This window comes from Homo sapiens, chromosome 1 (genome assembly GCF_000001405.40).
Source record: "Homo sapiens chromosome 1, GRCh38.p14 Primary Assembly".
NCBI lineage: Eukaryota > Metazoa > Chordata > Mammalia > Primates > Hominidae > Homo > Homo sapiens.
This window is the reverse complement of record NC_000001.11, coordinates 166,767,570-166,793,036: the sequence shown is the minus strand read 5'-3', so window position 1 is coordinate 166,793,036 and position 25,467 is coordinate 166,767,570. Positions and strand designations below refer to the sequence as shown.

Here is a 25,467-nt window from a genome sequence, read left to right as displayed (position 1 = left end):
TCCTAGCACTTTGTGAGGCTGAGTGGGGAGGATTGCTTGAGCCCAGGAGTTCAAGACTGGCCTGGGCAACTGGTGAGACCCCATCTCTTAAAAAAATATCAATGTAGCTTGAAGAATCTTGTGAATTGTGAGTTGATTAATATAAGAAATGTCTAAATTGCATGTTATTTCATTGCTGCAGCCACATTAGTTTAATCTAGTGGTTGCCTACTTTCGTTCTTTAACCAATCTATACCACTTTTGGCCTATATTGTCGAGAATTATCCTATAAAAGTAATAAGGAAAAAAACAAAGAGAAGAAGAGCAGCACAGACACTTTTAAGCCAAAATGACATAGAGGAAGGGGCTTGGCCACTACTGAAGATGTAAATTCTCGTGGGTTTGACAATCCACTGCCCTACTTCAGGATGGCTTTCCTGGCTCCATCCCATTTTCCTGGTCCCTGCAAACAGTACTGATATGGGGAGCATGAACCAAAGACAACCTCTTTGTCCAGCTTGGGATCTGAAAAGAAAAGAGAGAACAGGTTGGGCTTCACTCCTATTGCAGAGGCAATTTCATCCATGTACTTCACATATGGCACTCTATGAGCAACTCATGGCCTTCTCAAGAATCTAGAATCAGAAGAAACAATTGCAAACCTCATGCCAGATTCTGTTCACTATCCTCATCTTCAGGTACTATTTCCCTTCCTTACACCACATGGAATGTGGTAGATGGAAAAGCTTACCTGAATTAAGTCTGCTTTTCATGCCTATTTGTGGCCTTTTATATGCCACAAATAGCTTCGTGTTTAGTCTCATGTATTGGTTTACAAGCACACCTTCTATTCTTCAGTAATTGCTGAAATTGTTAGATAGTCATAGGTGTGTTGTGTGAAGTTTTGGCTTTTTAATGAGTATTCTCCTTTTCTAGTGTATATATTTTTGGTCATTTAATTTTTTTTCCCAAAGCTGGTTGTTAACGTATGATATTAAGCCACTTTGGTCATTAAGTGTTAATACATGAATTAAGAAAAATACAGCTTTTGTGATAGAAATCCGACTTCTATATTGTACATAGCTCAGCACAAGAGTATAATTAGCTTGTTTCAAAATGCCTTTGAAATATATAATTTTTTTCCCTTCAATCAGAGTTATCATATGTTCCTAGAATTTGGGTTTTCAGAGTAGAGATAATTTGATATGTGTGAAGAATCTCAGTTCTACACTTGTTCTTAATTTTGATCTTTGAGAAAAATTTTCCACTAAGATTAATCTACCTGGAAGTTTCTCAACTCACTTAAATTTTTATGAATAATTTTTTTTACTAATTATTTATATTATTTTGCTTGAGTTTGGCCCTTCAAAGGAATACATTGATCCTTTATTACTTCATTGGTTTCCTAAGGCACCTCATTTATAAGACTAGAACTTGTTGGTAACCAGGCAAGCACCAAGCACACATTTTGTCACCCTTTTTGTTTTGCTTCTTTACACAGTCACTGGAGAACTGAGGTTATAGGCATCTCTCATCTATGTATTGCCACTGGCAATCTATAAATGGCTGTAATTATGGATGACATTAAGTGTAAACAGCCACTCTCTTTTGAAATCTTGGTTATGCTCTGATTTTTCAATGACAAAATATAAGGGCATGTAGTATTATCACTTGAAGAAATTGATCTGGTTTCATTGTGGTTAAATTTCTTACTGTTTTCTCCAGTTGATCCTGTTCTGTTTGATGTCAGCTTGTATGTCATGCACTGACAGTAATTTGTTCAGTTCTGGGAAAGAAAATCTAGAATTTGGAGATGATTCTTAAAGAGTCAAATCACAAAATAAGTTTAGGAAGAAACTGACGTGCATTACAGGTAACATCTGTGTGTGGAAACTTTCCTATTTACCAATCTTGTCATGGAACGTTTCCTAGAGACACGGTCACTTGAAGGACAAGTTTAGACAAATGAGTAGTAGGAGAGTTTTTTAGACTTCTGCTCTTTGTCAGAGCCATGAAATAAAAATTATCTTTTTAAAAAATATGAAACAGATTATTTGGATTTATTCTCAATTTTTCAAAATCTTATGTCTTGTGATGCTAAGCATTTAACCAGAGGCTTTTTGTTTGTATTGGTGTGCATTGTTTTAGAATCTTTTGAACATCTCAAAAATCCAGAGATCTTTTTGTGCTCACATATTTTTGTTATGTTCTCCTACTGGCTTCCGGGGATTCACATGTTCAAAATAACCTTCTTAAGTCTTGGAAATAAATGTGCGATCCCTCAATATCAGTTTTTTTTAATGGTACATACAATAATGGAAAATATTCTAATCCAACAATTCTTCTGATAAAAAAGAAGGAAATGGCAAAAAAAGAGGAGGAGTTATAGTGGATGGTGTATGGTGGAAAGAACAGCATTGTTGGAAAGAGCAATTTAAGAGATGCCAAACAGAACTAAGGATGTTGGACTTGTGTGATCTTCATCTTTCACTAGTTATGCAACCTTGGAGAAGTTAACCTCTGACACTTTGTTTCCTTATCTATAAAATGAGGATAATATCTATTTTACACACTGTGAGAATTTAATTAGATAACTTATGTAAATTTAGCACTTGCCACTTAGACTTCAGAAGGTTATTTTGAACATGTGAATCCCCTGAAGCCAGTAGGTGAACATAACAATATGTGAGCACAAACAGTTCTCTGGATTTTTGAGATTTTCAAAAATATTCTAAAACAATGCACACCAATATGCACAAAGAGGTCTAGTTGGGATCAACCTCTAGCCTTATATCCTACTGCTTGCTCATCTACACTTGTCCTTCAAGCGACCTTGTGTCTGGAAAACTTTCTGTGACACTCTATACCTCTCCCTTTCCTCCAAGTCAGAGGGAATGAGGGTTGCCTCTTTGATCCTTCCATCTTCCATAGTGACTGCAAACCTCTATCAGATGCCTGTCTTTATCATTGTTCATTTTAATTGGTTGCTTGCCTGTTGTTCCCAACTTGACTTTAGGGCAAGAAGGATTTATTTTATTTTATTTTATTATTATTTTTTGTGCTTAACACAGTTCACTGCACACACTGGGCAAATACAATATGTTAATATAGTATTTGGGCCAGGCACAGTGATTCACACCTGTAATCCTAGCACTTTGGGAGGCTGAGGTGGGTGGATGACTTGAGCCCAGGAGTTCAAGACCAGCCTGGGCAACATAGTGAGACCGTGTCTCTATAGAAAAAATCCAAAAATTAGCCAGGCATGGTGGTGCATTCCTGTAGTCCCAGCTACTCAGGAAGCTAAAGTGGGAGGTCAAGACCTGAGCCCATGGATGTCAAGGCTGCAGTGAGCCATGACTGTGCCACTGCACAGATGTGAGTGAGACAACAGAAGTGAGACCTTGTCTTGAAAATACAAAAAAAGTGGGGGTCGCTTCCAAGATGGCCTTTGCTCTCTGAGGTGGAGCCCTGCCAACACATAAAGTCTGGCTCTACTCTCCCAACAAGCAACTCCCAGAAGTTAGGCAATAAGGATGTTGGAGAGCCCAATCTTACAAACCCAATCTTGTCGTGCAAAGTTTTCTAGAGACAATGTAATTTGAAGCACAAGTTTAGACAAGTGAGTAGCAGGACATAAGGCTAGAGGTTGATTCTAGCCAGACGCTGTGGCAAGTGCTAAATTTACATAAGCTATCTATTTAATTCTCACAGTGTGTGAAATAGATATTATCATCCTTTCCTCTTATGGAAAATAATAGATATCATCATCATTTTCCTCTTATGGAAAGTGTTCATTTTACAAATGGATTCCTTACTTTTCAAAAATATGCACTGTGTGTTTCTTTTCATGGCAAGTTCCCATATTAAAATTTGACTCTTTTAAATAAATACTTAATTATAGTGTATATATAATGCTATGTATACAGCAGGCATTTAATTCATTATAGTTTGACATTTTTTTCAGATGGTTCTGTTATCTCCAAAAAAGTTTATCTGACCTGTCACCCAGTTATTTTTTGTCATCTTCCAACATACCTCTTACTCTACAACTTTTCTACTGTCATTCCTAATACAGGATAAAAAAATCACAGCTCAAGAACTCATTCTAAAAACACCTACATAATACATACTTGTGTGAATTTATGCTTGACCAGTTAGCCAAGCATGTCTGTAGTTATAAGTTGTAATTATATAGAATTGGAAGAATAATATGGGAATTTTTTCTAGAATTATTCTAGGTCTAAGAAATAACAGTCAACTTTGTATAACTTCATTTCGACCCTTTCATATGATCAGATTTTAATTTCAATGGGATTGTATTTGAATGTGGGATTGAGAAAAGGGTTGAGAGATGAGAATTTTTACTTTTGTCCAAACTGTTTACTAGAATAATAATAATTATTATTATTTTAGAGATGAGGGTCTTACTGTTGCCCAGGCTGGAGTGCAGTGGCACAATCATAGCTCATTGTAACCTCAAATTCTTGGGCCCAAGCAATACACTCCACCAGCCTTAGAAGTAGCAGAGATCACAGGTGCATAGCACCACATCTAGCTAATTTTCAAAATTTTGTAGAGATGGGATGTTGCTATGCTGCCCAGGCTGTTCTGGAACTCCTTGGTTCAAGCAATCCTCCTACTTTGGCCTCACAAAGCTCTCAGATAATAGGTGCAAGCCACTGTACCTGGGCTGAAAGAATTTTTAATTATGAGAAATACAGCTAACCAGGGAGGTGAAAGATCTCCACAATGAAAATTACAAAACATTGCACAAATAAATCAGAGAAGACACAAACAAATGGAAAAACATCCCATGCTCATGGATAGGAAGAATCAGCATAATGAAAATGGCTGTACTGCCCAGAGAAATTTACAGATTCAATGCTATTCTTATCAAACTACCAATGATGGAACCAAAAAAGAGCCCGAATAACCAAGGCAATCCTAAGCAGAAAGAACAAACCTGGAGGAATCATGTTACCCAACTTCAAACTATGTTACAAGGCTCCAGTGACCATAACAGCATGGTACTGGTACAAAAACAGGCATATAGACCAACGGAACAGAATAGAGAGCCCAGAATTAAGGCACCTACAACCATCTGATCTTTGACAAAGCTGACAAAAACAAGCAATGGGGAAAACACTTCCTATTTAATAAATGGTGCTGTGATAACTGGCTAGCCATATACAGAAGAATGAATCTGGACCCCTTCCTTACACCATGTACAAAAATCAACTCAAGATGAATTAAAGACTCAAATGTAAAACCCAAAACTATAAAAACACTGGAAGACAACCTAGGCAATACCATCCTGGACATAGGAACAGGCAAAGATTTCATCACAAAGACTCCAAAAGCAATTGCAACAAAAGCAAAAATTGACAAATCAGATCTAATTAAACATAAGAGCTTCTGTACAGCAAAATAAACTATCAACAGAGTAAACAGACAACCTACAGTATGGGAGAAAATATTTGCAAACTATGCATCTGAGAAAGTCTAATATCCAGCCTCTATAAGGAACTTAAACACATTTACAAGAACTTAAACAAATTTACAAGAGAAAAACAAACAATCCCATTAAAAAGTGGGCAAAGGGTATGAACAGACACTTCTCAAAAGAAGACATATGCAGCCAACAAGCATATGAAAAAAAGCTCAATATCACTGCTCATTAGAGAAATGCAAGTCAAAACCACAATGAGATACCATTTGACACCACTCAGAATGGCTATTAATAAAAAGTCAAAAAACAATAGATGCTGGCAAGATGGTGGAGAAAGGGAAAAGCTTATACACTGTTGATGGGAGTGTAAATTAGTTCAACCAGTGTGGAAAGTAGTACAGTGATTCCTCAAAGAGCTAAAAGCAGAACTACCATTTAACCCAGCAATCCCATTACTAGGTATATACCCAGAGGAATATAAAGCATTCTACCATAAAGACACATGTATGTGTATGTTCATTGCAGCACTGTTCACAACAGTAAAGACATGTAATCAACCTAAATGCCCATCAATGGCAGATTGGATAAAGAAAATGTGGTACCTATACACTGTGGAATATTATGCAGCCATAAAAAAGAACAAGATCGTGTCTTTTGAGGGAACATGAATGGAGCTGGAGGCTATCATCCTTAGCAAACTAACACAGGAATAGAAAACCAAATACCACATATTCTCACTTACAAGTGGGAGCTAAATGATAAGAACGTATGAACACAAAGAAGGGAACAGTAGATACTGGGGTCTACTTGAGCGGGGAGGGTGGGAGGAGGGAGAGGAGCAGAAAAGATAACTATTTGGTACAGGACTTAATACCTGGGTGAGGTAAAGATATGTACAACAAACCCCTGTGATAGGTGTTTATCTATCTAACAAAACTTTACATGTTTACATGTACCCCCAAACTTAAAATAAAAATTTTAAAAAGATATTTTCAATTATTCCATTAGTCCCTCAACTTTCTTTGTGGTGGAAGTCTCCCTTCACTACTTACAGACTTACCTTGTGTCTATTCCCACAGTGTTTAACTTTTACCAGTGGCTATATCTGGAAAGTATCGGATAATAAGCTCCACCAATCTGAAAATGATTTAACATATAAGCTCTTATAGAGGGATTGTATTTTACTGAGGGGCTAGTGAAGACTGATAAGTCTTTAAAACCCAAGAAAAATGGGGTTTGTTGCATTTCAGATATTGAATCTGGACTGACAGGAATATATATTGCATTCTGGTTTATCTGGGTGCCTCTCAAATTATACCATGTGGTCAGAAGTCCACTCTGCTATGATATTGAGTAGGGCAAGACATACTTTTAAATACAGGTACAGCCCATTGGTTCTGAAGTTTTAAAATGGGAATAGTGCCTCCTCCTGGCTGCAGTAAGCCAGTGAAAACAAGTGTTGCCTTCTCCAGCTAGGAGGGAACACAAAATTCAGCATGGAGCACTGGCTGTCCAGGATTGCTGAGCCATCCTCCAAGAAAAGAAAAGACAAGGTGTAGTCTGTGGTGAAGATAATAACATTAATGTTCTCTTCAGTGCCATCCGCAAAGATGGTCTATGTCCAGGTGAACTCCTTCACATTCAGTTTTACCGGCACTCTTCTAGAAATTATGTGGTTGGGCAGATCATCACTAACAGTAACCTGATGGGTGAGAAATCTGTAAGACAAAGTGAGATTCTAGGGAGTGAATGTAAATTTTATTTAGAAAGGAGCTAAGTAAATGTCTCTGGGAAGAATAACAATGCATCAAATTATATTCCTCCACAGGGAACTTTGGGTTAAAATATTTTAATAGAATACATAGATTTGCATCAGTCTATCCTTCCAGTGTTTGTGGTAACCTGTTGTGGACAGTGGGAAATTCCAAAGGATTAACCAGCTTTGGGTGAGTTTGTTCTCTGAGAAATATTGATATCTAGCAATTAAAAGTGACTTTGGGCCAGGCACAGTGATTCACACCTGTAATCCTAGCACTTTGGGAGGCTGAGGTGGGTGGATGACTTAAGCCCAGGAGTTCAAGACCAGCCTGGGCAACATAGTGAGACCGTGTCTCTATAGAAAAAATCCAAAAATTAGCCAGGTATGGTGGTGCATTCCTGTAGTCCCAGCTACTCAGGAAGCTAAAGTGGGAGGTCAAGACCTAAGCCCATGGATGTCAAGGCTGCAGTGAGCCATGACTGTGCCACTGCACAGATGTGAGTGAGACAACAGAAGTGAGACCTTGTCTTGAAAATACAAAAAAAAGGGGGGTCGCTTCCAAGATGGCCAAATAAGAACAGCTCTGGTCTACAGCTCCCAGCAAGATCGATGCAGAAGAGAGGTGATTTCTGCATTTCCAACTGAGGTACCTGGTTCATCTCACTGGGACTGGTTGGACAGTGGGTGCAGCCCACGGAGGGTGAGCCGAAGCAGGGCAGGGCATTATCTCACCTGGGAAGGGCAAGGCATTGGGGGATTTCCCTTTCCTAGCCAAGGGAAGCCATAAGTGACTGTACCTGGAGAAGCAGTACACTCTTGCCCAAATACTGCACTTTTCCCACTGTCTTCACAACTGGTAGACCAGGAGATATCCTCCTGTGCCTGGCTTGGTGGGTCCCACACCCACAGAGCCTTGCTCACTGCTAATGCAGCAGTCTGAGATCGACTTAGGATGCGGGAGCTTGGTGGGGGAAGGGGCATCTGCCGTTGCTGAGGCTTGAGTAGGCGGTTCTATGCTCACAGTGTAAACAAAGCAGCAGGGAAGCTCAAACTGGGTGGATCCCACTGCAGCTCAGCAAGGCCTACTGCCTCTATAGATTCCATGTCTTGGGGCAGGGCATATTTGAACAAAAGGCAGCAGACAGCTTCTCCAGACTTAAATGTCCCTGCCTGACTGCTCTGAAGAGAGCAGTGGTTCTCCCAGCATGGCATTTGAGCTCTGATAACGGACAGACTGCCTCCTCAAGTGGGTCCCTGACCCCCGTGTAACTTGACTGGGTGACACCTCCCAGTAGGAGCTGACAGACACCTCATACAGGCAGGTGCCCCTCTGGGACAAAGCTTCCAGAGGAAGGGTCAGGCAACAATATTTTCTGTTCTAAAACCTCTGCTAGTGATTCCCAGGCAAACAGGGTCTGGAGTGGACCTCCAGCAAACTCCAACAGACCTGCAGCTGAGGGGCTTGTCTGTTAGAAGGAAAACTAACAAACAGAAAGGAATAGCATCAACATCAACAAAAAGGACATCCACACCAAAACTCCATCTGTAGGTCACCAGCATCAAAGACCAAAGGTAGATAAAACCACAAAGATGGGGAGAAACCAGAGCAGAAAGGCTGAAAACTCCAAAAACCAGAATGTCTCTTCTCCTCCAAAGGAACACAACTCCTCACCAGCAAGGGAACAAAACTAGATGGAGAATGAGTTTGATGAGTTGACAGAAGTAGGCTTCGGAAGGTTGGTAAAACAAACTTCTCTGAGCTAAAGGAGTATGTTCTAACCCATTGCAAGAAAGCTAAAAACCTTGAAAAAAGGTTAGACGAATGGCTAACTAGAATAACCAGTGTAGAGAAGAGCTTAAATGACCTGATGGAGCTGAAAACCACAGCACAAGAACTTTGTGAAGCATACACAAGCTTCAATAGCTGATTCGATCAAGCAGAAGTGATTGAAGATCAAATTAATCAAATTAATGAAATAAAGTGAGAAGACAAGATTGGAGAAAAAAGAGTGACAAGAAACGAACAAAGCTTCCAAGAAATATGGGACTATGTGAAAAGTCCAAATCTATGTTTGATTGGTGTACCTGAAAGTGATGGGGAGAATGGAACCAAGTAAGAAAATGCTCTTCAGGGTATTATCCAGGTGAACCTCCCCAACCTAGCAAGGCAGGCCAACATTCAAATTCAGGAAATACAGAGAACACCACAAAGATACTCCCTAAGACACATAATTGTCAGATTCACTAAGGTTGAAACGAAGGAAAAAATGTTAAGGGCAGCAAGAGAGAAAGGTCGGGTTACCCACAAAGGGAAGCCCATCAGACTAACAGTGGATCTCTCTGCAGAAACCCTACAAGCCAGAAGAGAGTGGGGGCCAATATTCAACATTCTTAAAGAAAATAATTTTCAACCCAGAATTTCGTATCCAGCCAAACTAAGCTTCATAAGTGAAGGAGAAATAAAATCCTTTATAGACAAGCAAATGCTGAGAGATATTTGTCACCACCATGCCTGCATTATAAGAGCTCCTGAAGGACACTTGGGTGGCTGAGGCAGGAGAATCACTTGAACCCAAGAGGCAGAGGTTGCAGTGAGCCGAGATCATGCCACTGCACTCCAGCCTTGGTGACAGAGTGAGATTCCATCTCAAAAGAAAAGAAAAGAAAAGAAAACAAAAAACAAACAAAAGCAAAATCAAAACCAAAAACAAAAAACAAAACAAGAGCTCCTGAAGGAAGCACCAAACTAGATAGGAAGCATAGGAACAATCGGTACCAGCCACTGCAAAAACATGCCAAATTGTAAAGACCATCAATGCTATGAAGAAACTGCATCAATTAATGGGTGAAATAACCAGCTAGCATCATAATGACAGGATAAAATGCACACAGAACAATATTAACCTTAAATGTAAACGGGCTAAATGCCCCACTGAAAAGACACAGACGGGCAAATTGGATAAAGAGTCAAGACCCAGGCGGGGCGCAGTGGCTAACGCCTGTAATCCCAGCACATTGGGAGGCTGAGGCGGGCAGATCACAAGGTCAGGAGATAGAGACCATCCTGGCTAACATGGTGAAACCCTGTCTCTACTAAAAAAATACAAAAAAAAATTAGCCGGGCATGGTGGCAGGCGCCTGTAGTCCCAGCTACTCAGGAGGCTGAGGCAGGAGAATGGCGTGAACCCGGGAGGTGGAGCTTGCACTGAGCCAAGATTGTGCCACTGCACTCCACTCCAGCCTGGGTGACAGAGCGAGACTCTGTCTCAAAAAAAAAAAAAAAAAAAAAAAAAAAAAAAAGAGTCAAGACCCATCAGTGTGCTGTATTCAGGAGACCCATCTCATGTGCAAAGACACACATAGGCTCAAAATAAAGGGATGGAGGAAGATCTACCAAGTAAATGGAAAGCAAGAAAAAGCAGGGGTTGCAATCCTGGTCTCTGATAAAACAGACTTTAAACCAACAAAGATCAAAAGAGACAAAGAAGGTCATTACATAATGGTAAAGGGATCAATTCAACAAGAAGAGCTAACTATCCTAAATATATATGCACCCAATACAGGAGCACCCACATTCATAAAGCAAGTTCTTAGAGACCTACCAAGAGACTTAGACTCCCACACAATAATAATGGGAGATTTTAGCATCCCACTGTCAATATTAGACAGATAAACGAGACAGAAAATTAACAAGGATATCAAGGAATTGAACTCGGCTCTGGACGAAGTGGACCTAATAGACATCTAGAGAACTTTCCACCCCAAATCAACAGAATAGACATTCTTCGCAGCACCACATAGCACTTATTGTAAAATTGACCATATAATTGGAAGTAAAACACTCCTCAGCAAATGTAAAAGAACAGAAATCACAACAAACTGTCTCTCAGACCATAGTGCAATCAAATTAAAACTCAGGAATAAGAATCTCCTCAAACCACACAACTGCATGGAAACTGAACAACCTGCTCCTGAATGACTACTAGGTAAATAATGAAATGAAGGCAGAAATAAAGATGTTCTTTGAAACCAATGAGAACAAAGGCACAACATACCAGAATCTCTGGGACACATTTAAAGCAGTGTGTAGAGGGAAATTTATAGCACTAAATGCCCACAGTAGAAAGCAGGAGAGATCTAAAATCGACACCCTGACATCACAATTAAAAGAACTAGAGAAGCAAGAGCAAAGAAATTCAAAAGCTAGTAGAAGACAATAAATAACTAAGATCAGAGCAGAACTGAAGGAGACAGAAACACAAAAACACTTCAAAAAAATCAATGAATCCAGGAGCTGGCTTTTTGAAAAGATCAACAAAATAGATACACTGCTAGCAAGACTAACAAAGAAGAAAAGAGAGAAGAATGAAGTAGACACAATAAAAAAGATAAAGGGGATATCGCCACCAATCCCACAGAAATACAAACTACCATTAGAATACTATAAACACCTCTACACAAATAAACTAGAAAATCTAGAAGAAATGGATAAATTCCTGGACACATACACCCTCCCAAGACTAAACCAGGAAGATGTTGAATCTCTGAATAGACAAATAACTGGTTCTGAAATTGAGGCAATTATGAATAGCCTACCAACCAAAAAAAGTCCAGGACCAGATGGATTCACAGCCGAATTCTACCAGAAGTACAAAGAGGAGCTGGTACCATTCCTTCTGAAACTATTCCAATCAATAGAAAAAGAGGGAATCCTCCCTAACTCATTTTATGAGGCCAGCATCATCCTGATACCAAAGCCTGGCAGAGACACAAAAAAGAAAAAAAAGAAAAAAAAGAATTTTAGGCCAATATCCCTGATGAAGATCAATGCGAAAATCCTCAGTAAAATACTGGCACACCGATTCCAGCATCACAACAAAAAGCTTATCCACCGTGATCAAGTGGGCTTCATCCCTGGGATGCAAGGCTGGTACAACATATGCAAATCAATAAACGTAATCCATCACATAAACAGAACCAACGACAAAAACCACATGATTATCTCAATAGATGCAGAAAAGGCCTTCAACAAAATTCAACAGCCTTTCATGCTAAAAACTCTCAATAAACTAGGTATCAGTGGAACGTATCTCAAAATAATATGAGCTATTGATGACAAACCCACAGCCAATATCATACTGAATGGGCAAAAACTGGAAGCATTCCCTCTGAAAACCGGCACAAGACAAGAATGCCCTCTCTCATCACTACTATTCAACATAGTATTGGAAGTTCTGGCCGGGGCAATCAAGCAAGAGAAAGCAATAAAGTGTGTTCAAATAGGAAGAGAGGAAGTCAAATTTTCTCTGTTTGCAGATGACATGATTGCATATTTAGAAAACCCCATCATCTAAGCCCAAAATCTTCTTAAGCTGATAAGGAGATCAGCAAAGAGATCTGAGATCCTGAGAACTTCAGCAAAGTTTCAGGATTCAAAATCAATGTGCAAAAATCACAAGCATTCCTATACACCAATAACAGAAAAACAGAGAGCCAAATCGTGAGTGAGCTCCCATTTACAATTGCTACTAAGAGAATAAAATACCTAGGAATCCAACTTACAAGGGATGTGAAGGACCTTTTCAAGGAGAACTACAAACCACCGCTCAAGGAAATAAGAGAGGACACAAACAAATGAAAAAACATTCCATGCTCATGGATAGGAAGAATCAATATCGTGAAAATGGCCTTACTGCCTGAAGTAACTTGTAGATTCAATGTTATCCCCATCAAGCTACCACTGCCTTTCTTCACAGAATTGGAAAAAAACTACTTTAAACTTCATATGTAACCAAAAAGAGCCCACATAGCCAAGACAATCCTGGGCAAGAAAAACAAAGCTGGAGGCATCACGCTACCTGGCTTCAAACTTTACTACAAGGCTACAGTAACCAAAACAGCATGGGACTGGTGCCAAAACAGGTATATAAACCAATGGAACAGAACGGAGGCCTCAGAAATAACACCACACATCTACCACCATCTGATCTTTGACAAAACTGACACACACAAGCAGTGGGGAAAAGATTCCCTATTTAATAAATGGTGTTGGGAAAATTGGCTAGCCTTATACAGAAAACTGAAACTGGACCCCTTCCTTACACCTTATACAAAAATCAACTCAAGATGGATCAAAGACTTAAATGTAAGACCTAGAGCCATAAAAATCCTAGAAGAAAACCTGAGCAATACCATTCAGGACACAGGCATGGGCAAAGACTTCATGTCTAAAACACCAAAAGCAACGGCAACAAAAGCCATAATTGACAAATGGGATCTAATTAAACTAAAGAGCTTCTGCACAGCAAAAGAAACTACCATCAGAGTGAACAGGCAACCTACAGAATGGGAGAACATTTTTGCAATCCATCCATCTGACAAAGGGCTAATATCCAGAATCTACAAAGAACTTAAACAAATTTACAAGAAAAAAGCAAACAACCCCATCAAAAATGGGCAAAGGATATGAACAGACACTTCTCAAAAGAAGACATTTATGCAGCCAACAGACTTATGAAAAAATGCTCATCATCACTGGTCATTAGAGAAATGCAAATCAAAACCAAATGAGATACCATCTCATGCCAGTTAGAATGGTGATCATTAAAAAGTCAGGAAACAACAGATGCTGGAGAGGTTGTGGAAAAATAGGAACACTTTTACACTGTTGGTGGGAGTGTAAATTAGTTCAACCATTGTGGAAGACAGTATGGTGATCAAGGATCTAGAACTAGAAATACCATTTGACCCAGCAATCCCATTACTGGGCATATACCCAAAGGATTATAAATCATTCTACACTAAAGATACATGCACACATATGTTTATTGCAGCACTATTCACAATAGCAAAGACTTGGAAACAACCCAAATATCCATCAATGATAGACTGGATTAAGAAAATGTGGCACATATACACCATGGAATAGTATGCAGCCATAAAAAAGGATGAGTTCATGTCCTTTGTGGGGACATGGACGAAGCTTGAAACCATCATTCTCAGCAAACTATCACAAGATCAGAAAACCAAACACTGCATGTTCTCACTTATAAGTGGGGGTTGAACAATGAGAACACATGGACACAAGGAGGGGAACATCACACACTGGGGCCTGTGGGGGGTGGGGGGTTAGCGGAGGGAAAACATTAGGAGAAATACCTAATGTAGGTGACGGGTTGATGGGTGCAGCAAACCACCATGGCATGTGTATACCTATGTAACAATTCTGCATGTTCTGCACATGTAACCCAGAACTTAAAGTTTAATAATAATAAAAAAAGAAAAAACAAAAAAGTGACAGTATAAAGGTAAATGTTACTAATGTAGTCAAGTAGAAAGACCTATTACATTACAAAATGAGAGGACAAAAATGATCATATTAAGACTCGTGTGATTGCAACAGTGTCTGTGGGAGTGTATGGCTATCCTTCTTTATATTAACTAATTAAGAAAGAATTTACATTAAATTATATGAGTTTTTCTTTTTGAGATAGGATCTTATTCTGTCACCCAGGCTGAAGTGCAATGGCACGATCGTGGCTCACTGCACTCTCAGCCTCCCGGGCCCAAGTGGTTGTCCCATCTCAGCTTCCTGAGTAGCTGGGACCACAGGCATGTCAAATCATGCCTGGTTAATTTTTCTAAATTTATTTTTTTGTAGAGATTTTCTCCCTATGTTACCCAGGCTGGTCTCAAACTCTTGAGCTCAAGTGATTCTCTCCCCTTGGTTTTCCAAAGGGCTGGGATTACAGGCATAAGTCACTGCACCTGGCCAAATTATGTAAGTTTTTCTTGATGAATTATGTATTAGTCCATTTTCACACTGCTATAGAGAACCACCTGAGACTGGGTAATTTATAAAGAAAAGAAGTTTAATTGACTCACAGTTCCACATGGCTGGGAAGGCCTCAGGAAACTTACAATCTGGCAAAAGGCAAAGGGAAAGCAAGACGTGTCTTACATGGTGGCAGGAGAGAGAGAGAGAGGAAGGAACTACCAAACACTTTTAAACCATCAGATCTCATGAGAACTCACCCACTGTCGTGAGAATAGCATGGCAGAAACTGCCCACATGATCCAATCGCCTCCCACTACGTCCTTCCCTGGACACCTGCAGATTTGAGATGAGATTTGGGTGGGGACACAGAGCCAAACCATATCAAATTAGTTAAGTGAAAATTTACTGAGTGCTAAGTGCATGATAGGTGTTGAGGTTACGGAGGTGTTTATCTCTCGGAGTTACAATATAGTAATAAGTATCATGATGGGAGATATAAAGTTGTGTGTGCGTCCATCTTTTGTGCCAACAACCAAAAATAAATAATAGCCAAGGGGGAACAAAGGTAGTACAATGTACATAAAGTGGGAACAATCGAAGATGCTGTGACATTTTAGGGACTGAATTTCTCCCTCCTGTGCTTACTGAGTACCATCTCCCAGAGGTAAATAAGAAGAGGTGGTGCACATCTCCTCCACACAGTACTGATTTGATCAAGGTTCTTGTAATGCTTTTAAAACTGGAACTCTGTAAGGTACCCATCAGGCTTAAAATTTGCATTCTGGCCAGGTGACTTGGCTCATGCCTGTAATCCCAGCACTTTGGGAGGCCGAGGTGGGCAGATCACTTAAGGCCAGGAGTTCGAGACTAGCCTGACCAACATGACGAAACCCTGTCTCTACTAAAAATAAAAAAATTAGTTGGGCATGGTGGCTTATGCCTGTAATCCCAGATACTCGGGAGGCTGAGGCACAAGAATCATTTGAACCCAGAAGTCAGAGGTTGCAGTGAACCGAGATTACCCCGTTGCGCTCCAGCCTGGGAAGCGGAGGGAAACTCTGTCTCCCCCTACCAAAATAAATTTACATTCTATGTCTGGTTGTTTAACCTACCCCAATTGTGAAGTTTAAATTAAATCCTACACCATATCCATGCTGTGGTTTGCAGAATAAATAGCATAGTTAAATTTGGCATTTAATTTAATTTTCTGAGAAGTAGTTGATCAAGAAATGGGAAGGAAGTCAGACTACTCTTAAAGTGAGTGAAGACAGCAATATCTGTGGGTGACCTCTTATCTCAGATTCTGTTCCATATCCATGCACTCTACCTTGTGCTAAGGAACACCTGGAAAAGAGAAAAAAATACAAAACAATCATTTCACTTTGCTGATCTGTATTTTACTAGCTCAGAAATGTTTAATTGAGTAATGGATTATTTTATCTGTTTTTGTCATTTTTACCTCCTACATCCTCTCTAACACTTTAGAAATTTGCTTAAAATTCTCTTTTTTCTCTGTCTCTCTTTGCAGAAGTCTCAACTTAGAAGTATGCAAAATATTTACATTTCCTAATGTCTCGCCAAGCACCAAAGTAAATGGCTTTATTGGAGGCTAATTATCTTTAATAAAATAGGTTTGAAGTATTTAAATATGAATGGCCTAGTTGGATGAGGCCACTATTCCTTAGTAATGCCTAGAAGTCTAGGCTCTAAGTGAGCTGTGAATTGTGTAAAACATTGAAGGATTGTTTGCATCTAGGAACAGAATGTTTAAATTAATTAATGATTAATATTTCAGAGTACATATTCTGGGTCATACCCTGAACAGGTGTTATGAATGCAAAAGTGAATAAAAATTGTTCCTTATTGTACTCAGCTCATGGTCTAGGGGAAGAGGCATGGGTACCAAACCAGCTTAGTAATGTAGTACAGTTCACATGCAATATCTGCTCCGGAATTCCCAATGCTGAGTACAATTCTATTTAAAAACATTTGTACAAATTTATGGGGTACATGTGCAGTTTTGTTACATGCATGGATTGTGTAGTGGCCACATCAGGGATTTTACAGTATTCATCACTCAGTTAACGCACATGGTACCTATTAACTAATTATTAACTAATTTCTCAACAAATACACCCCTTCATGCCCTCACCCTTCCAAGTATGCATTGTCTATCATTCCAATCTCTACATCTATTTTTACACAGTTTTCAGCACCCAATTATGAGTGAGAACATGTGAAAGTTGACTTTCTGTGCTTGGTTTGTTTCACTTAAAATAATGACCTCCAGTTTCATCCATTTTGCTGCAAAATCATGATTTCATTCTTTTTAATGGCTGAATAGTATTCCATTGTACATCTATACCCGACTTTCTTTATGCATTCATCTGTTGATGGACACTTAGGTTGATTCCATGTCTTTGCTATTGTGAACAGTGCTGTGATAAACAAACCAGTGCAGATATGTTTTTGGTACATTGATTTCTTTTCCTTTTGGTAGACACCCAGTAGTGAGATTTCTGGACTGAATTGTTGTATCTTTAGTTCCTTGAGAAATTGTCACACTTTTTTCATAGGTGGTACTAATTTGCATTCCCACCAATAGTGTATAAGCATCCTCTTTTCTCTGCATCCTTGCCAACATGTTGTTTATTTATTTTTAATAATAGACATTCTGATTGGAGCAAGGTGATATTACATTGTGGTTTTAATTTGCATTTCTATGATGATTAGTGATGTCGAACATTTTTCATATACTTCTTGGCCATTGGTCTGTCTTCCTTTTAAAAATGTCTACTCATATACCTTACCCACTTTTACTTGGAATTGTTTCTGTTGTTGAGTTCCTTGTATATTGTGGATATTAGTTCCCTGTCAGATCAATAGTTTGTGAATATTTTCTTCCATTCTCAGGTTGGTTTTTTTACTCTGTTGATTATTTCTTTTGCTGCGCAGAAGCTTTTCAGTTTAATAAAATCTCATTTGTCTATTTTCGTTTTTTGCATATGCTTTTGAGGTCTTAGTCCTAAATTCTTTGCCTAGGCCAATGTCCAGAAAAGTTTTTCCTAGGATTTTTTTCTGATATTTTTCATAGTTGGAGTTTTTGTTTTGTTTTGCTTTGTTTTCTTGAGATAGTGTCTCTCTCTGTTACCCAGGCTGGAGTGCAGTGGGGGTGATCGTAACTCACTGCAACTTTGAATTCCTGGGCTCAAGTGGCCCTTTACCTCAGCCTCCCAAGTAACTAGGACTACAGGCATGCACTAACACACCTTGCTAGCTTTTTTTTTTTTTAGAAACAGGTCTATGTCGCCCAGGCTGGTCTCAAACTCCTGGCCTCAAGTGATCCTCTTGCCTTGGTCTCTCCAATGTCTGTCTTTAATCCATCTTGAGTTGATTTTGTATATGGTGAGAGATAGGGGCCCAGTTTTTTACTGTTTCATATGGCAATCTAATTGTTCGAGCACCTTTTATTGAAAAAGTTGGCCTTTCTCCAAAGTATGTTCTTGTTGGCTTGTCAAAGATCAGCTGGCTGTAAATGTGTGGCTTTATTTCTGAGTCCTTCATTCTGTTCCATTGATGTATGCATCCGTTTTTATACCAGTACCATGCTGTTTCAGTTACTATAGCTTTGTAATAGAATTTAAAGTCAGGTAACATGATGCTTCCAGCTTTGTTCTTTTTGTTTAAGATTGCATTGGCTATTTGTGCTCTTTTTGGTTCCACACGAATTTAAGAATTGTTTTTTTTTTTCTAGTTCCGTGAAAAATGATGTTGATATTTTGATAGGGATTGCATTAAATCTGTCAATTGCTTTGGGCAATATGGCCATTTTAATGATATTAATTCCTCTGATCTATAAGCATGGAATGTTTTTCCATTTGTTTTTGTTATCCACAATTTATTTCATCAGTGTTTTGTAGTTTTCTTTGTAGAGATCTTTCTTTCACCTTCTTGGTAAAATCTATTGGGTATTTTTTTGTAGTTATTTTAAATGGAATTGTCTTTTTGATTTCTTTCTTACATAGATAATTATTGGTGTATAGAAATACTACTAATTTTTGTACATTGATTTTGTATCTTGCAACTTTAATTCATGATCAAATCTTTTTGGTGGAGTCTTAGGTTTCTCTAGATATAAAGTCACATCATCAGCAAACAGGGATAATTTGACTTCCTCTTTACCAATTTGGATGCCTTTTATTTCCTTCTCTTGCCTAATTGCTCTGGCTAGAACTTCCAGTATAATGTTGACTAGAAGTGTAATGTGGGCATCCTTGTCTTGTTCCAGTCTTGGAGGAAAGGCTTAACTTTTCTGTATTCAGTATGATGCTAACTGTGGGTTTGTCATATATATTTTGAGATGCGGTTCTTCTATGTCTATTTTGATGCTAAGTTTTATCAAATGTTTTTTCTGCATCTATGAGAAGATCATATGGTTTATTGTCCTTGATTGTTTATGTGATATAACACATTTATTGACTTGCATATGTTGAACCATCCATGCATTGATTTTTAAAAATTTGCTGAGACTTGTTTTGTAGCCAAACATGTGGTCTATCTTGGAGAATGACTCATGAACTGATTGTTGAAAAGTATGCATATTCTGCAGTTGTTCAGTAGAATGTTTTGTAAATGCCTCTTAAATTCATTTGGTCTAAATTACAGTTTAAATTCAATGTTTTTGTTAATTTTCTGTCTAAATGACCTGCCTAATGTGAGTGGGGTATTGAAGTCCTCTACTATTATTGTGTTGCTCGCTATCTCTCTCTTTAGGTCTTATAAGATTTGTTTTATGAATCTGGGTTCTCCAATATTGGGTGCATATAATTTAGAATTGTTCCATACTCTTGATAGATTGATCCCTTTATCATTCTATAATCACCTTCTTTGTCTTTTTTTTCATTACTGTTTTTGACTTGAAGTCTGTTTTATCTGGTATAAACGTAGGTGCTCCTGCTCGCTTTTAGTTTCTGCATTCCTGATATGAAACCTACTTGATCATGATACATTATCTTTTTGATGTGCTTTTAATTTAGTTTGCGGCTATTTTGTTGAGGATTTTTGCATCTATGTTCATCAGAGACATTGGCCTGTGGTTTTCCTTTTTTGTTTTGTCCTTGTCTGGTTTTAGTATCAGGGAGATAATGGCATCATAGAATGAGTAAGGGAGAATTCCCTTCTCCTCAGTTTTGTGGAACAATTACCCAATGATTGGTATTAGTTCTTCTTTGTATGTTTGGAAGAATTTGGCTTTGAATCCATCTGGCCCTGGGCTTTTCTTTCTTGGTATTTTTTTTTATTATTACTAATTGAATCTCACTATTTGTTATTGATCTGTTCAGGTTTTCTATTTCTTCCTGGTTCAATCTTGGGAGGTTGTATGTTTCCAGAAATTTATCCATTTCCTCTTGGTTTTCCAGTTTGTTAACATATAGTTGTTCTTAATAGTCTCTGATGATCTTTTGTATTTCTGTGGTATCAGTTGTACTGTGTCATTTTTCATTTTTGATATTATTTATTTGGGTCTTCTCTCTTCTTGGTTAGTCTAGCTAGTGGCTTATCAATTTTGTTTATCTTTTTCAAAAGCCATTTTTTTCATTTCATTTATGCTTTGTGCTTTTAGTCTCCATTTAATTCTGCTCTGATCTTTATTTCTTTTCTTCTACTAAGTTAACATTTAGTTGACTCCTGCTCTTCTTGTTCCTTGAAGTACATTGTTAATTGTTAATTTGTAATATTTCTACATTTTTATTGTAAGCATTTAATGCTATGAACTTTCCTGTTAGCACTGCTTTTGCAGTATCTCACAGGTTTTGGTAATTTCATCATTGACCTAATGGTTGTTCAGCAGCATGTTGTTTAATTTTCATGCATCTATATAGTTTCCAAAGTTTCTCTTAGTATTAATTTCCAGCTTTATTTCCCTGTAGGCTTAGAAGACATTTCATACATTTTTGATTTTTAAAAATTTGTTGAGACTTATTTTGTAGCCAAATGTGGTCTATCTTGGAGAATGCCTCATGTACTGACTGTCAAAAGGTATGTATATTCTGCAGTTGTTCAGTAGAAAGTTCTGTAAATGCTTAAATTCATTTGGTCTAAATTACAATTTAAGTTCAATGTTTTTGTCAATTTTCTCTCTAAAAGACCCACCTAATGTTGTGAGTGGGGTATTGAAGTCCCCTACTATTATTGTATTGCTCTGTCTCTCTCTCTTTAGGTCTTGTAAGATTTGTTTTATGAACCTGGGTTCTCCAGTGTTGGGTGCATTTAATTTAGAATTGTTCTATACTCTTGATGGATTGATCCCTTTATCATTCTATAATCACCTCCTTTGTCTTCTTTTAAAATTACTGTTTTTGACTTAAAGTCTGTTTTATCTGATATAAATGTAGGTGCTCCTGCTTCCTTTTAGTTTCTGTTTGCATGGAATATCTTTTCCACTCCTTTACTTTCAGCCTGTGTCTTTACAGGTAAAGTGAGTTTCTTGTAAGCAGCATATAGTTGATCATTTAAAAAAAAACATTCAGCCAATCTGTATCTTTTAAGTGGAGCATTTAATCTATTTATATCCAAGGTTAATATTGACATGTGGGATTTTGTTCCTGTCATATGGTTAATGGTTTTCTAGCTGTTTCTTTCTTTTTCTCCAATTGTCGTTTTTATTTGGTGGAATTCTGTGATGGTGCCATTTGATTCCTTTGTCTTCCTCCATTGTGTGATTGCTTTATCAGTGAGTTTTCTACTTTTGTGTGTTTTCATGAGGTTAATGTCATCCTTTCACTTCCAAGTTTAGGACTCCCTTGAGTATTTCTTCAACAGCCTGTCTAGTCGTGATGAATTTGCTTGTCTGTGAAATACTTTATTTCTCCTTCATTTATGAAGGTTAATCTTGCTGAATATAGAATTCTTGGCTGCCCACTTTTTTTCTTTCAGCACTTGAAAATATTATCCCATTCTCTTCTAGCCTGTAGCTTCTCTGCTGAGAAGTCCACTTTTAGTCTGATGGAGTTTCCTTTACAGATGACGAGAATGTTTTCTCTTGCTGTTTTATAATTCACTTTTTCTCTTGACTATAGACAGCTTAGCAATGTACTGGGCAGGTGAGCTACCTCTGGAGCCCTTGGGCAGATGGATTGGCATGGGCAATGGCAGTAGCACTGTTGAGATGCTCTTCTGGTTCCCAAGGGCTGTGTGCTTATGTTGGCAGTGGGTACAATGAGTTGTGTAGGCCAGCCTTCAGGCCAGCAGGAGGTGTTTGCAGATAGGAGCCAGAGGAGGTGGTAGTAGGGTGTTTATGCCCAACCTCAGTGTCCCAGGAGGAGTGCTAGGGTGTCTCAGGTGGTGGATTGGGTTGTCTAATCCCCAGGACCCTGGATCCTACACTCTGTGTCAGAGGGGAGGGGGCCGAAGCCAGGCAGAGATGGACTGAGTAAGCTTGCACTGAGGTCTCCCAGTGGCAAGTGCATGCACTGGCCATGATGGGTAGGGGTGTGGTGATCATCAAGCTCCTGGCAGAATGCTTGGGTGAGGTGCAGTCCCTGCTGTGCTGAGGTCCTGCCATGAAGGGGAGGGAGGCTAGCTCTAAGGGCTGCAGGCTTGGCCAGTGGTTGGGGGACTTATGCCTCTCTCACACCACAGTCCCAGAGGGGCTAGCTACCCAGTCCTGCCTGTCACAGCCGATGCATAAGACCTGTGTTGGCAGTTTGTGCCTAGCCTGCAACTCAGCCCAGAGCTATATGAACCCCAAGCTGGCTCAACACCAAGCCTCTGTTGCAATTCTTGTCCTGCTCAAAACCTGAAGTCTGTGTTTGCTTCTAGCACTGGTAGCTGCAGTCCATGCCACACTGACTTCTCAGTTCTGGTAGCAGAAGCCTACCTCCTGCTCATGCCCTAGTTCTGCAAGCAGCAGCCTGAGTTTCCTTAATTCCCAGGACCGGCACCATTGGTTCCCAGGACAGTGCACAGTCTGTTTTAAGCTAGGATTGAGAATGGCATCTTACTGTATCTGCTTAGGTTACAGAAAAAGTGTGGGACTCAGAGTTCCCTCTGTGGAGCCATTTCTTCTCACGGTCTCTTGGCTGCTCTCTAAGTTAGATTCAGATCTTGGGAAGGTCATGGTGGTCTCCCATGGCCTGGATTGTATGATTCATCCAGTGGAAAATGGTTCAGTGAAAATGGACTGCAGAAAGACTCTCATCCACCCTCTCTTATACTGGGGATCACTCCTGGTTCCCAGCTGATTCCAGCCAAGCAGGCTGTCTGTTTTCTTTATCCTTTCTAGTTTTAGGTGTGTCTTGTAACTTTTTTTGTTGAACTTTCGTGTTCCCTTTTGAATAATATATTCAAAGTGAGATTGTCTACACACTCTTTGGAGTTTTCTAATGAATGAGGCATGATTGAGATGCTTCTAGTCAGCCATCTTGAAGAAACCCAATTATTTTCTCTACAAAATATTTGGGTGCTCTTTAGTCACAACTTGGAAATACAGACTGCTGAACTTTTTGATACTTGTGTGAAGAGAGAAGAATTGCTCATATTCAGGAATCTATAGGAATTGAAATAAAAGCATACAATAGCAAATATAAATAATGCTTACATATTGTAGGTATGGTAGGTCATAGGTACAGTAGGTACAGGCTTACTTAGAGTAACTCATTTAATCTTAACAACTAACTGTGATTTGCACACAATTATTTACATTGCAGGAGAGAAATCTTGTGTGGAAAATTTTTATAACTTATTTAGGGTTACCCAGCTAGTAAGGAGTGGACCAGCAGTTTGAACCCAGATAGCTGGGACTGGGGCATCCATGCTCTTACCTTCCATGCTTGAAGACTCCTTTGACAGTCATTGTGGAAAATTTTTCCTTAACTAAAAGTACATTTTATTTAAACATTTGGTTAAATGTCTCATAGCTCAAGCAGTAGGATGTGGAGGTATAAGCATAGCATCACCATGTCAAGGCCAAGGCTTAGCAATCTCATGGCTAAGTTCTAGTCGAGGCAAAGAAAAAGGAAAAAATCCTCTTTCTTTCTTTGAAAAACAAATTTTACCTTGAAAATCTGTCTTCCTAATACTATATTTAATGGTCAAAAACAGCAAAGCTCAAGGTTACTATTCCTGATCACCTTAGGGTGCTGGGGCCTATTTTTCAGTTTACCCTATGAGTTAGGTTTTGTAATTTTACAACTAAAGCAAATTCTTCAAACAGGAAGGTTTTCTATGGCTTTAATCACACCATTTCTTTCAAATCAGTTGAAAAAGAAGAAAAGATACTTCTTTCCACAAACATACACTTAGAGTACATTCAGGAATAATGTACCATGAATCTCCAGAAATAGTCTTTCAGATGACCTATTTTGGAAGAACTGCAGTAGCAAAAAGCAGTCAGTGTACTGCTTGCTGCACACCATAACCGCATCAAAGATGAGGGCTTCCTAGGCCAGGCTCAGTGGCTCACGCCAGTAATCCCAGCACTTTGGGAGGCTGAAGCAGGTGGATTACTTAAGGTCAGGAGTTTGAAGCCAGCTTGACCAACATGGTGAAGCCCTGTCTCTATTAAATACTATGAGTGGTGGTGCCTGCCTGTAATCCCAGCTACTTGGGAGGCAGAGGCAGGAGAATTGCTTGAATCTGGGAGGCGGAGGTTGCAGCAAGCCGAGATTGTGCCATTGCACTCCAGCCTGGTCAATAAGAGCGAAACTCTGTCTCAAAAAAAAAAAAAAAAGTTGAGGGCTTCCTGCCTCCCTCAGTCTCTACCACTACTGGTTGGTGAAAGATAAGTCATAATCTTTTTTCACAATACACACCTTCAACTGGGAACAAAGAGACAACCTTAATCTTTGACCACTATTTTTACACTTCCATCTTTTTTCCAGAATTTGAAGAACAGATGATTTATTCTTCTTACCTGGGGTAGGATCTAGTGCCTAATTTTCTATTAAAAGTCTTCAGGAATTTTCTCATGAGACTTTTAGTGCTGCCTGCTCTACTGAAAATAGGCTGTGGTTATGACTGTATAGGACAGCAAATGCACCTGATTTACTAAACTCCTAGACTTCTATACGTGTAACCAAGTGTAACTAAGAAACTCGAATTGAAAACCATGTCCACAGTGCTCTAAATGCATGATTCTGCCCTTTCTCCTAAGAGGCGCACGGTAAAACTAAACAATATCAACAATGTGTGAAAATTGTGGTGATCCCTGCAGTGAGAAAAAACATTGCTTTGATAGTCATGAACTCTACTGACTCTTCAGTGAACAGTGTCATTATGCTACACCCGATCTTTTCTTATCAGAAATTTGATGTATTTTTTAAGGTTGAAATGCCTGGCATACATCCTGACATACTTTATAACTTTAGAATTATGCAAATATTTGGGACAATGATCAGGAGCAGGATAGTCATTATAGTTTCTAATTTGCTTAGAGGCATTGCAGATGGCAGATTTGTACACACTTGGCTTTCAGCCTTCAGGATTCCCCTGCAGGGCATAAAG

The 25,467-nt window shown here is 39.0% G+C and overlaps 1 pseudogene, besides 1 other annotated feature; it reads right to left on the bottom strand.

The window, feature by feature from the left end:
- On the bottom strand, positions 270-25,467 carry FMO11P (flavin containing dimethylaniline monoxygenase 11, pseudogene; annotated as a pseudogene).
- Positions 519-719: a silencer, noted in NCBI's record as "peak440 fragment used in MPRA reporter construct". NCBI's record gives its function as "represses an SCP1 promoter by STARR-seq MPRAs in K562 erythroleukemia cells {active_cell/tissue: K562}" and the evidence as "EXISTENCE:reporter gene assay evidence [ECO:0000049][PMID:32103011]".